The sequence below is a fragment of the Homo sapiens genome, chromosome 7, assembly GCF_000001405.40.
Source record: "Homo sapiens chromosome 7, GRCh38.p14 Primary Assembly".
Classification (NCBI taxonomy): domain Eukaryota; kingdom Metazoa; phylum Chordata; class Mammalia; order Primates; family Hominidae; genus Homo; species Homo sapiens.
This window is the reverse complement of record NC_000007.14, coordinates 36,710,784-36,724,844: the sequence shown is the minus strand read 5'-3', so window position 1 is coordinate 36,724,844 and position 14,061 is coordinate 36,710,784. Positions and strand designations below refer to the sequence as shown.

Below are 14,061 nucleotides of genomic sequence, written 5' to 3'. Positions count from 1 at the left end.
CTTCAAGGAATAACCCAATTTCTCCAGAGGAAAGATATTATTTGACCAGAATATCCTTTTACAACAAAATAAGGATCACAACCTTACCATATAAAGCTGTTGAAAACAAGACTAAGTAAGTTCTGAATGTAACCAATTAGAATTTCTACAATATGTGGGTGCTGCTGATCAAATTGTTAAAGGGTTGTGTGCTTGTGGATTAGTTTTTTTTTTCTTTTTTCTTCTCAGTTTTGGCTTTAGTATCGTTTTGTTTTGTTTTGCAAGAATGAAAGGGGAAGGGCCTCCTAACCAACCCAACAGATCAGTTCCGGCAAGCCTCGAGGCTCACGGGGTTTATGCACACTAACTTCACTGAGCCAGGGAGCACGGAAGTTGTGCCACTGTGCAACTTGGGTTTTCTTTATCCTGCAGTCTTTACCTCAGCAGAACCGCACACCACAGACTCCCTCCAGCTCTTTGTGTGTGGCTCTCTCAGGGTCCAACAAGAGCAAGCTGTGGGTCTGTGAGTGTTTATGTGTGCTTTTATTCACTTCACACTTATTGAAAAGTGTGTATGTGAGAGGGTGGGGTGTGTGTGTCAAAGAGAGTGAGGAAGAGAAGGAGAGAGAGATCAATTGATTCTGCAGCCTCAGCTCCAGCATCCCTCAGTTGGGAGCTTCCAAAGCCGGGTGATCACTTGGGGTGCATAGCTCGGAGATGCAGTCCCCCTGGAAAATCCTTACGGTGGCGCCTCTATTCTTGCTCCTGTCTCTTCAGTCCTCGGCCTCTCCAGCCAACGATGACCAGTCCAGGCCCAGCCTCTCGAATGGGCACACCTGTGTAGGTATGCAAATAAATATTTTTGTATTTTCTATGTAGACATAACAATGGGATCCAGTACTTTGCTTGCGTAATAAATCACATATTTTATTAAATCAAGAATTGTAAGATTCCAGGTAAGGCACCAGTAACCTCACTGACACAGAGAAATGTGGAGTCTAAGAGTAGACATTGACACTACATACATCTATGTGAATAAAAAGCATACTAGTTTAAATTGGGCATAAAACTCTTCCACCTCATTGGCGATTGGAATTTTTTCTTCTTGTATAGGTAACTATTATTTCAGGCTATTTTAGTCTGAAATTTTTACTGCTTTTCATGGGCTTTGACCTCATATAAACACATCTGAGTTTGAATCACTGCCCTCCTCCTACCCTTCTCTCCCATTTCCTACTGGCTGTGGAAACCTGGAGCAATGTACTTAACCCTCTCCATGCTTCTGTGTCCTTATTGGTGAACTGAAGTGAGTGAGACCCATCTCATAGGGATACCATGGAAATTGTGACCATGCATGTAAATCTGTGGCATGTGCACACAGTAAGGACTCAACCATCTTAGCTTCCTTCCGTCTCTCAGAGAATCCAGATTTGGCGATCACCTGGAGACGCTGAGCGTTGATATGGCTTCTTGGCTCATCTGTTAATGAAGTGTTTTATTTCCAAGAGGTTTTTTTTGTTTGTTTTTTTTGGATGAGAGCAGGAAGTAAGGTAAGATCTTTGATATTCACATTGTAGCTCTCATAACATGGGAATTCTCATAATAGTGGTGGCATTTAGATGGTACAGTCCATGGAGCCACATAGACTCAGAACTCTGAGTAGTAAGTAATTGTTCAATGAGCAGACCTCAAAATACAATCCTAGCTTGAGAAGCCAGGAAAATAACTCTAGGATAAGTCTGATGGCTACATGCTGCAAATGGAAAATCTGGACACAGATTCTGACACTTAGGAATTGTTTCTGGAGACAATATGGAAATATATCTGAATTTGTCCTACTTCCTCAAAATCATGGCCTCAGGTCATTGTACATGTTAGGAGATGCATCTCTACTTCCAAAGTCCTTTTTTTTTTTTTTTTTTTTTTTTTTCTGAGATGGATTATCGCACTGTCACCTGGGCTGGAGTACAATGGTGCAGTCTCAGCTCACTGCAACCTCTGCCTCCCTGGTTCACACAATTCTCCTGCCTCAGCCTTCGGAGTAGCTGGGATTACAGATGCACACCACCACACCCAGCTAATTTTTTGTATTTTTAGTAGAGATGGGGTTTCCCTATGTTGGCCACACTGGTCTCGAACTCCTGACCTCGTGATCCGCCCCCCTTGGCTCCCAAAGTGCTGGGATTACAGGCATGAGCCACCGCGCCCAGCCTCCAAAGTCTTGTTTTAATTAAGACCCAGATTCCCCAAGACTATTTTCCAGAGACCTGAAGGCAGAGGTGTGTGGTCCTTTGAACCATGCCTGGGAGATCATCCTCCCCCAGTATTTGGTTTCCTTAAATAACTATTTGCCACCTTTTCATTTTTCTCAAAACAAAACCCTACTGCCCATCAAATGGAAATACACTTGAGAAAAGCTCAGATGAAATCAGTTTTACTTCTGGGCTCATTGCAAACTAAATGTTTGAGTTTGGGCAAGTTGTCAGGGCTGAGATCCTTGGACCTTCACTTCAGTAAAATGGACAGGAGGTACACATTCCTTTCTCTGCCCTGTTCCCAGTGAGGTCATAGAGGGTAAGAAGGAGGTGTTGGGGAGATTTCAGGATGGGGTTGCTCTGGTTTTTCTATTATTGCTGCATCAAAAATTACAATAATAACCATTTGTTGTATTATGATTTTATGGGTGAAAAATTTGTTCGAACACTGGCTGGTGATTCTTCTTCTCCATGTAGGAGTGACCGAGGTTAGGAGGTGGTATTCGGATGGTGGATTGATGGATCTGGGACTGACAAAAACAGCTTCACTCACATATTTGGCACCTTAGGGGTGAGGGAATGGCTAGAGGGTTGGCTCATCTGGGAGTGCCATCAGAGTGCCCACACATGGCTATCTTGGGTAGTAGGCTTTCTTACCTGGCAGCTTAGGAATCCCAGAGAGAATTCCAAAAGACAGGAATTAGAAGCTGCCAATCTTTCAAGTTTTGGGTCTGGAAACAGGCACAGCATTACTTGCCATCTTCCATTGCTCAAAGCATTCACAAGTTCCTCCACCCAGACTCAAAGGGAGGGGGCAGAGACCCTTCATTTTGATGGAGAGGGTCAAGAAATGTGTGGTCATCTCTATCATTCACAGAGGTTCACTTTGGTTGCCCATACAAATTCTCATGGCCCCAAGGGCTTGGAGACTCTGTTGCTGATTAGGTTTGAGGATGATTTAGCATCCATTTTCCCAGCAACTCCCAACTTCTTCTGGTTAACTCTGCCTGGGTGACTTATTCACCTGTTGTCATAATAGCAAGAAAGGTGGGTGCAAGAGGAGTCCAGTCTTGTGATGAACACTTACTGAGCACTGCCTATGTGCTGAGACAGGGGCTGAAGGTGGTCCAACTTGGTGCTTCACTGATTGAAGTTGGCTTTTGGGGGAGACAGGATTAGAAATGTGTGTGCAGGGGAGTTTATTGAGAAGTGCTCTTGGCAAAAAGACGAGCAAGAGAGGAAGGCAGTGGGGTTGGCAGAGAGAAGCCGGGCTGTGCTGCAGCCATAAAAGAAGTCCCACTGAGAGCTCTGGGACTAAAATAGCTCTTCAGAGTTGTCCTGAAGTAGGTGCAGGTCTTGGAATTCCCACATCAAACAGTCCCTCGATGTGACCTGACCACAGGGGAGGGCTGTAATTTTGAGACATCTCCCGTTGGTGGAGACAGTTCTGGCAAGGGACTCTGATGCTGGCATAATCCTTCAGACCAATGGCTCCAGAAGCTGGGGAGCGAGTGTCTCCTGATACGGGATCCTGGGGTGTACCTGCTGGAAGGGTTGTATGTGGGAAGCATCTCAGGAAGCAGTGAGGTCCGCTCTCTCGCAGCTGGTGGGAAGAGGAAGAAGTGTGTGGAAGAGAGGAGAAAAGAGAAGGAATTGTTGATTGGAGTTCTTCTAACTCTACATTTGTTGCCAACACCCTAACAACTTTCTGACAAAAAGCAGGGTTACATGACTTCAAACCCTCCAGCAGAAAGGTGGTCCCCAAACATTTCCGCGCACTCAGTTCTCACATGGCCACTGAATATGCGAGAGCAGGGATACACAGATGAAGGAGAGGAAGGATTTTTAGAATGTCTGTCTTCAGGAAATTCACTGTCCAGTTTAGAGGAAAACGAAAACCTGGAGCCTTGTAAAGATTACAGTCCTTTAAAATGAATGTTGAACTGGGCCCTTAGTGCCCTTGATAATACCCTTTCTCTAAAACTCTTTAAACTGCCAATGCCAGAGCCAGCAGAGCACCATGAAGTGCAGGGCAGAGGCTCATAGCTTGGAAGCAGGCACTGCAGACTCCGCTCATAAAGCCACCTGGGGAAGGTGAAGTAATAGCCTCAAAAAGAGTGTTTAAAACTTTAAGATTTTAGGTCGTGTGTGGTGGCTTACGCCTGTAATCCCAGCACTTTGGGATGCTGAGGTGGGCAGATCACGAGGTCAGCAGATTGAGACCTGCCTGGTCAATATGGTGAAACCCTGTCTCTACTAAAAAAAAAAAAAATGTAAATATAGATATACAAAAATTAGCAGGACACGGTGGGGCATGCCTGTAGTCCCAGCTACTCAGGGAGCTGAGGCAGAAGAATCGCTTGAACCCAGGAGGCAGAGGTTGCAGTGAGCCGAGATCACATCACCACGCTCCAGCCTGGGCGACAGAGCGAGACTCCATCTCAAAAAACAAAACAAAACAAAAAAAAAAACTTTAGAATTCTAGAAACATTTCTACCTGAATATTGCTAGTCAAAGAAGGAAGCTTCAGTTATCTCAAAGATTCTGTTGCATTCACCTGCTTGCTGAAAGAACCCAGGCCACAGAAACTTTTCTGAGCAAAAGGTGATTAGGCAGCTGGATTTCTGATCATCCCATCTGAGCAAGAATGATTCATCTTTTTTTTTTTTTTAATAAAGACAAAGTCCTACTCTATCACCCAGGCTACAGTGCAGTGGTACAATTATAGCACACTGAAGCCTCAACAGCCCAGGCTCTAGTGATCCTCCCACCTCAGCCTCCTGTGTAACTGGGACTACAGGTGCACACCACCATGCCTGCCTAATTGTTTTATTTTTATTTTCGTGGAGACAGGGTCTCATTATGTTGTCCAGGCTGGTCTCAAACTTCTGGGCCCAAGCAATCTGTCTGCCTCAGCCTCCCAAAGTGCTGGGATTATAAGCATGAGCCACCGTGTCCAGCCCTCTTCATTTTTGTTAGTTGTCAGCTGTCTTTTAATTGCCATTCCAACATAAATTCTTACCTTGATCATAAAAGGATATCCTTGCCTTGATTTGTAAGATCATAATAACCTAAAATATTTATATCACCTTCCCAACACATGGAAGAAGTTCTTCCTTCCTATTTTTCTTCAAGATCAACTGAACTAGTTGGGTTTCATCCATTTTTATGAAGATTATTGTTGAGTAATCAAATTTGCTTCTTACTCATAAAGTTTGTTTTGCTACTGGTCTCCCCAACACTTCTCCGTGGGGGTTGTACCTTCCATCTTTTCTCTGACTTGAATGTGGACTAATTGGAGTGATGCCTGGAGAAAGTCACTACAGCCAAGTGCTCTTCAGCCACACAAATTACATTTGCGAGTTAATAATTATAATAATTGCCAACATTTATTGGACACTGACTGTATGATAAGCCATCTTCCAAAAGATTTATGTGTACTAACCCATTTAATCATTACAATGACCTTATGAAGTCTGTATTATCATTATCCTTGTTTGGTAGGCGAAAAAATAAAGACAGAAATAAGTAACTTGTTCAAGGTTACATAGTTAGTTAAAACTTGGCTTATTCCTCGCTTTAATTATGATTATGTTATTGTTGATGTGATTAAATCAGGGTAAAATATTTTTCCCATATTGTTTTAAATAACAGCTTTATTGAGAAATATAATTCATGTATCATAAACTTCACTCTTTTAAAGTGTAAAAGTGGCATTTAGTATATTCATGAGTTGTGCATTGATCACCAATATCTAATTCCAGAACATTTCACTGCTCCCCCCAAAAATCCAATTCTCTTAGCATTTACTCCCCATTTCCTTCTCTCTATAGCCCTTGGAAATCACCACTCTACTTCCTGTCTCTATGGGCATTTCACATAAATACGATAATATAAAACATGGCCTTTTGCTACAGGCCTCTTTGACTTAGCATAATGTTTTCAAGGTTCATTCATGTTGTGGCATGTATCAACCCTGTTTCTTCTTACAGCTGAATAATATTCCATTGTATGGACATACTTGGTTTTGTTATTTATTCATTGTTGATGAACATTTGAGTTGTTTTCACTTCTTGGTAATTATGAATAATTCTGCTATGAATATTCATGTACAAGATTTTGTGTAGACATGTGTTTTTATTTCTTTTGGGTATATACCTAGGAGTGGAATTTCTAGGGCATGCGGTAATACCATCTTTAACATTTTGAGGAACTGCCAAACTATTTTCCAAGCAGCTGCACCATTTTACATTTCTACCAGCGGTGTATGAAAGTTGTAACTTCTCCACCTTCTTGCCAACACTTAGTTATTCATCATTTTGCTATCGCCATCATAGTAGCTGTGGAGTGAGATCTCATTTTTGGTTTTAATTTGTATTTCCCAAATGATAATGATGTTAGCATCTTTTCATGTGCTTATTGGCCATTTGTATATCTTCTTTGAAAAAAAATTTCTATTCAAATATTTTGCCCCTCTTTAAATTGGGTTTGTCTTTTTATTGTTGAATTGCAAAAATTCTCCATATATTCTAGATAGACGTCTTTTTTCAAATATATGATTCACAAATATTTTCTCCCATTCTGTGTTTCCTTCCCCCACTTTCATAATGGTGTCCTTTCACGAACAAAATTTAGTAATTTTGATGGAGTCCAGTGTATCTATTTTTTTCTTTTGTCTCTTGTATTTTTGGTGTCATATCTAAGACCTATATTTTAAAATTGTTGTTGTAGTTATTAGTTTTCTTTTGTCATGTGCCTGTTCCTTTGTCTTATTTCCCAGACACCAAGTTCCTCACCACAAATATAGCAACCAGGAGCGAAACTCCTGGGGTTGCAAGTAACAGGAATTAACTTAAACTAGGCTAAGCAAAAAAAAAAAAAAATAAGAAGAGAAAAAGAGGAAATTTGCTTGTGAGAATTACAAGAGTGAATTTTAGAATCAAAAGGAGAAAACAGGCCTACAAATCAAGCTAGGAAACAAAAAATGTTGGCCGCCAGGAACCCAGAGAGTTCTCTCTCCCGGTGCCTCGCCACTGCCTCCATCTCTATCCCTACAGACCAGCTGGTTTAATGCCCTCCACCCTTTGGTTGACTACTGGCTCCCAAAAGCTCTGAGTTCATATGTGGTAGTTCAGCCCGCAGAAGTGTGTTCACCTTCTGGTTACCAATTCCAGCTTCCCAGCAGAGAGAATTTGGGCTAAGTCTTTAGTTCACTGACTAAGGGGTGGGTGGGAGTGGGGAGAGCTCAAAATACAGAGATGGCTGCCAGGCTCATGGCGTGAGGGGATAGCTCTCACTGAAGCAGGGTATTGTTGTGACTGGAGGGATACTCTAAAAGGAGCCCTCACTGAAGTTACTGAGCTATTGAGCCTACAGACCCATCACAAACAACCCCAGCTCCAATCCCAAAGCGTAACCCCGCAGTGGGGAACTAACCAGAAGACCTGAGGACGTGGCCATAAATGTATTCCCAAAGCAGATTGAAGCTGTGGAAAGCCCCAAGATCCCCTTCCCCAGTTTACCATATTTGTTAGCACTGAACAGTATGTCCCATTTGAACACTAAGCAAATGCAGGGTCGACTATGCTTTTTTATTTATTTATTTATTTATTTATTTATTTATTTATTTATTTATTTATTATACTTTAAGTTTTAGGGTACATGTGCACAACGTGCAGGTTTGTTACATATGTATACATGTGCCATGTTGGTGTGCCGCACCCATTAACTCATCATTTAACATTAGGTATATCTCCTAATGCTATCCCTCCCCGCTCCCTCCACCCCACAACAGGCCCCGGTGTGTGATGTTCCCCTTCCTGTGTCCATGTGTTCTCATTGTTCAATTCCCACCTATGATTGAGAACATGCCGTGTTTTGTTTGTTGTCCTTCTGATAGTTTGCTGAGGATGATGGTTTCCAGCTTCATCCATGTCCCTGCAAAGCACATGAACTCATCATTGTTTATGGCTGCATAGTATTCCATGGTGTGTATGTGCCACATTTTCTTAATCCAGTCTATCATTGTTGGACATTTGGGTTGGTTCCAAGTCTTTGCTATTGTGAATAGTGCCGCAATAAACATACGTGTGCATGTGTCTTTATAGCAGCATGATATATAATCCTTTGGATGTATACCCAGTAATGGGATGGCTGGGTCAAATGGTATTTCTAGTTCTAGATCCCTGAGGAATCGCCACGCTGATTTCCACAATGGTTAAACTAGTTTACAGTCCCACCAACAGTGTAAAAGTGTTCCTATTTCTCCACATCCTCTCCAGCACCTGTTGTTTCCTGACTTTTTAATGATCGCCATTCTAACTGGTGTGAGATGGTATCTCATTGTGGTTTTGATTTGCATTTCTCTGATGGTCAGTGATGAGCATTTTTTCATCTGTCTTTTGGCTGCATAAATGTCTTCTTTTGAGAAGTGTCTGTTCATATCCTTTGCCCACTTTTTGATGGGGTTGTTTGTTTTTTCTTGTAAATTTGTTTTGAGTGCATTGTAGATTCTGGATATTAGCCCTTTGTCAGATGAGTAGGTTGCAAAAATTTTCTCCCATTCTGTAGGTTGCCTGTTCACTCTGATGGTAGTTTCTTTTGCTGTGCAGAAGCTCTTTAGTTTAATTAGATCCCATTTGTCAATTCTGGCTTTTGTTGCCATTGCTTTTGGTGTTTTAGACATGAAGTCCTTGCCCACACCTATGTCCTGAATGGTATTGCCTAGGTTTTCTTCTAGGGTTTTTATGGTTTTAGGTCTAACATTTAAGTCTTTAATCCATCTTGAATTAATTTTTGTATAAGGTGTAAGGAAGGGATCTAGTTTCAGCTTTCTACATATGGCTAGCCAGTTTTCCCAGCACCATTTATTAAATAGGGAATCCTTTCCCCATTGCCTGTTTTTCTCAGGTTTGTCAAAGATCAGATAGTTGTAGATATGTGGCATTATTTCTGAGGGCTCTGTTCCGTTCCGTTGGTCTATATCTCTGTTTTGGTACCAGTACCATGCTGTTTTGGTTACTGTAGCCTTGTAGTATAGTTTGAAGTCAGGCAGCGTGATGCCTCCAGCTTTGTTCTTTTGGCTTAGGATTGACTTGGCAATGCAGGCTCTTTTTTGGTTCCATATGAACTTTAAAGTAGTTTTTTCCAATTCTGTGAAGAAAGTCATTGGTAGCTTGATGGGGATGACATTGAATCTATAAATTACCTTGGGCAGTATGGTCATTTTCATGATACTGATTCTTCCTACCCATGAGCATGGAATGTTCTTCCATTTGTTTGTATCCTCTTTTATTTCATTGAGCAGTGGTTTGTAGTTCTCCCTGAAGAGGTCCTTCATGTCCCTTGTAAGTTGTATTCCTAGGTATTTTATGCTCTTTGAAGCAATTGTGAATGGGAGTTCACTCATGATTTGGCTCTCTGTCTGTTATTGGTGTATAAGAATGCTTGTGATTTTTGCACATTGATTTTGTATCCTGAGACTTTGCTGAAGTTGCCTATCAGCTTAAGGAGATTTTGGGCAGAGATGATGGGGTTTTCTAGATATACAATCATGTCATCTGCAAACAGGGACAATTTGACTTCCTCTTTTCCTAATTGAATGCCCTTTATTTCCTTCTCCTGCCTGATTGCGCTGGCCAGAACTTCCAACACTATGTTGAATAGGTGTGGTGAGAGAGGGCATCCCTGTCTTATGCCCGTTTTCAAAGGGAATGCTTCCAGTTTTTGCCCATTCAGTATGATATTGGCTGTGGGTTTGTCATAGATAGCTCTTATTATTTTGAGATACGTCCCATCAATACCTAATTTATTGAGAGATTTTAGCATGAAGCGTTGTTGAATTTTGTCAAAGGCCTTTTCTGCATCTATTGAGATAATCATGTGGTTTTTGTCATTAGTTCTGTTTATATGCTGGATTACATTTATTGATTTACATATGTTGAACCAGCCTTGCATCCCAGGGATGAAGCCCACTTGATCATGGTGGATAAGCTTTTTGATGTGAGGCTGGATTTGGTTTGCCAGTATTTTATTGAGGATTTTTGCATCGATGTTCATCAGGGATATTGGTCTAAAATTCTCTTTTTTGGTTGTGTCTCTGCCAGGCTTTGGTATCAGGATGATGCTGGCCTCATAAAATGAGTTAGGGAGGATTCCCTCTTTTTCTATTGATTGGAATAGTTTCAGAAGGAATGGTACTAGTTCCTCCTCGTACCTCTGGTAGAATTCGGCTGTGAATCCATCTGGTCCTGGACTTTTTTTGGTTGGTAAGCTATTAATTATTGCCTCAATTTCAGCTCCTGTTATTGGTCTATTAAGAGATTCAACTTCTTCCTGGTTTAGTCTTGGGAGAGTGTATGTGTTGAGGAATTTATCCATTTCTTCTAGCTTTTCTAGTTTATTTGCGTAGAGGTGTTTATAGCATTCTCTGATGGTAGTTTGTATTTCTGTGGGATCGGTGGTGATATCCCCTTTATCATTTTTTATTGCATCTATTAGATTCTTCTCTCTTTTCCTCTTTATTAGTCTTGCTAGCGGTCTATCAATTTTGTTGATCTTTTCAAAAAACCAGCTCCAGGATTCATTGATTTTTTGAAGGGTTTTTTGTGTCTCTATTTCCTTCAGTTCTGCTCCGATCTTAGTTAGTTCTTGCCTTCTGCTAGCTTTTGAATGTGTTTGCTCTTGCTTCTCTAGTTCTTTTAATTGTGATGTTAGGGTGTCAATTTTAGATCTTTCCTGCTTTCTCTTGTGGGCATTTAGTGCTATAAATTTCCCTCTACACGCTGCTTTGAATGTGTCCCAGAGATTCTGGTATGTTGTGTCTTTGTTCTCATTGGTTTCAAAGAACATCTTTATTTCTGCCTTCATTATGTTATGTACCCAGTAGTCATTCAGGAGCAGGTTGTTCAGTTTCCATGTTTGAGCAGTTTTGAGTGAGTTTCTTAATCCTGAGTTCTAGTTTGATTGCACTGTGGTCTGAGAGACAGTTTGTTATAATTTCTGTTCTTTTCCATTTGCTGAGGAGAGCTTTACTTCCAACTATGTGGTCAATTTTGGAATAGGTGTGGTGTGGTGCTGAAAAGAAAGTATATTCTGTTGATTTGGGGTGGAGAGTTCTGTAGATGTCAATTAGGTCTGCTTGGTGCAGAGCTGAGTTCAATTCCTGGATATCCTTGTTAACTTTCTGTCTCGTTGATCTGTCTAATGTTGACAGTGGGGTGTTAAAGTCTCCCATTATTATTGTGTGGGAGTCTAAGTCTCTTTGTAGGTCTCTAAGGACTTGCTTTATGAATCTGGGTGCTCCTGTATTGGGTGCATATATATTTAGGATAGTTAGCTCTTCTTGTTGAATTGATCCCTTTACCATTAAGTAATGGCCTTCTTTGTCTCTTAATCTATGTTGGTTTAAAGTCTGTTTTATCAGCGACTAGGATTGCAACCCCTGCCTTTTTTTGTTTTCCATTTGCTTGGTAGATCTTCCTCCATCCCTTTATTTTGAGCCTATGTGTTTCTGCATGTGAGATGGGTTTCCTGAATACAGCACACTGATGGGTCTTGACTGTTTATCCAATTTGCCAGTCTGTGTCTTTTAATTGGATCATTTAGCCCATTTACATTTAAGGTTAATATTGTTATGTGTGAATTTGATCCTGTCATTATGATATTAGCTGGTTATTTTGCTCATTAGTTGATGCAGTTTCTTCCTAGCCTCGATGCTCTTTAAAATTTGTCATGTTTTTGCAGTGGCTGGTACCGGTTGTTCCTTTCCATGTTTAGTGCTTCCTTCAGGAGCTCTTTTAGGGCAGGCCTGGTGGTGACGAAATCTGTCAGCATTTGCTTATCTGTACAGTATTTTATTTCTCCTTCACTTCTGAAGCTTAGTTTGTCTGGATATGAAATTCTGGGCTGAAAATTCTTTTCTTTGAGAATGTTGAATATTGGCCCCCACTCTCTTCTGGCTTGTAGAGTTTCTGCTGAGAGATCCGCTGTTAGTCTGATGGGCTTCCCTTTTTGGGTAACCCAGGGGTCGACTATGCTTGAACAGGCTGTGCCTCTTTCTGCCACTTTTCAAATGTTGCAGAATAAATGATAAGACATGTTAATTTTTGCAAAACATTTCTTTACATGGGTGATTTAGGGGGAAAATAATCCTTGTGTTTCTAAGTCATTGACATTTAAATTAATTCACTGAATGTTCGTTTTTTTAAAAGCACTATTTGGTACTCAGGAAGCTTTTTAAAAGGTTAAGAAAAAACCTGAATTTTTCCCTTACTCACATTTGGTTAAATATAAAATGCCTTCAGTGTCAGGTTATAATCCCCTCTCCACACCCGCATACCACACACAGAGTGGTTCACGATGACTTCATAGTTTGATTGATGAACACAGAGGTGGCCACATAATTTCAAGCCAATGTGAGCAATAAAATAACAGTGTCACTGACAAGAATAGGAAGGATTTAGACAGAGCCAACAGAAGGTTGAAAATTTATTATCACGACTTAGACACACAGAAATTTCACTCTTTCTATTTCTCTATAACTAAACGCTTGTTCATAAGACACTGTTTCTGCTGATAGCAGAAAACATTTCATCTTGCCATTTATGTGGTTAAATTGAGTCTCCTTTGGTAACTAGCTTTTCCTCTTCCTTCCCTCCTCTGTGAGGGTTGATCTTAGTTCTCCAGGAGGACTTACCCGTCACTCTGATGTTCATGGTTCTCAGCCTTTGGAGGTGGTCTCTGTCCTCAGCCCTAAGAGCGCCAGCAAGTGAAGTTTCAGGGTTGGTGGGGTTCATGGTCTTGGCTTAGCCATGCAGTCTGGACATTGGCCCTGCATCTGACCCACCACACATTCCACCCTCATGGGCCAGGCAGATCTTCGCGGTCTAGCTGGACCACCCTCATTCTCTGGACACAGCTACTGCCCTCTGCACGTGCCCTTTACCGTGGCAGTTCCCATACACTCTCTCTTCTCCATAATCTCCTACCTTTATTTTTAAATTATCATTGCATTTAACCCCAACTTTAGCACAAATGGTAGGTTTCTGATCATCTGAATTTTTCACCACCTGTCTGCCTCTCTCTTTCCTGGATTGCTCTGAGGTGGAAACCTGAAGAGAAAGACCACAGGGACACTCTGAGAAGGGCCTGTGACTTTGGGGAAAGGTCACACAGTGAGCAATACCGAAAGAATCCATGATGACAGCATGCTGTGCTTCAGGAACAAAGGAAGTAATTTTTTTTTGTAAATATATTAATACTGGAGGTAAGAATACAGAATATTTTAAAATTTGTTATGGAAAAGGGAAAAAAGAAGAAGTTGTAAAGCATTAAGCAGAGTAAAATCCCCATTAAGTTATAATGTGCCCACCTCTCTATTGACAGAGCTATTTTCCTAGACAGAATGAATGCCAAAATAGTCATAGTGATTACATGGCTGTCTCTAAATGAAGACATTACTAGTGATTTATATTTCCTTCTCAGTAATTTTCTGAATTTTCCACACTTTCTATAATGTGCTTGTGGAAGCAATAGTAAGGCATGGGGTTAAGACCTGCAGAGTGTGGGGCTCTCAGATTTGAATCCTGGTTCTGCCACTCTGTACAAATGTGACTTTGGGGGCATAGCTTCACCCTCGGCACCACTTCACTCCCCTCATCTGCAAAATGAGAATTACACAGGGTGATGCGAACAGCCTGTCACTTAGAACTGTGCTTGGTACATAGCAAGGACACAAAAGGGTTGTGATTATCTATTCTTTTGGAAATCAAGAAAGAAATGCATAGAAACTGTGCTCCAGAAGTTGTGAAATTAAACCTATTGTAAG

General features: G+C 41.1%; 1 protein-coding gene across 14 annotated transcripts in view; it reads left to right on the top strand.

Moving 5' to 3' along the window:
- Nucleotides 1-350: 350 nt before the first annotated feature.
- The window catches only part of AOAH (acyloxyacyl hydrolase), a 211,554-nt gene continuing 197,843 nt past the window's right edge, over nucleotides 351-14,061 (top strand). For all 14 annotated transcript variants that reach the window (NM_001177507.2, XM_011515334.3, XM_017012102.3 and 11 more), the window contains exon 1: nucleotides 351-823. In NM_001177507.2, the coding sequence (NP_001170978.1) occupies nucleotides 697-823 (127 nt within the window). In that variant the 5' untranslated portion in view covers nucleotides 351-696. The remainder of the gene's footprint in view (nucleotides 824-14,061) is intronic.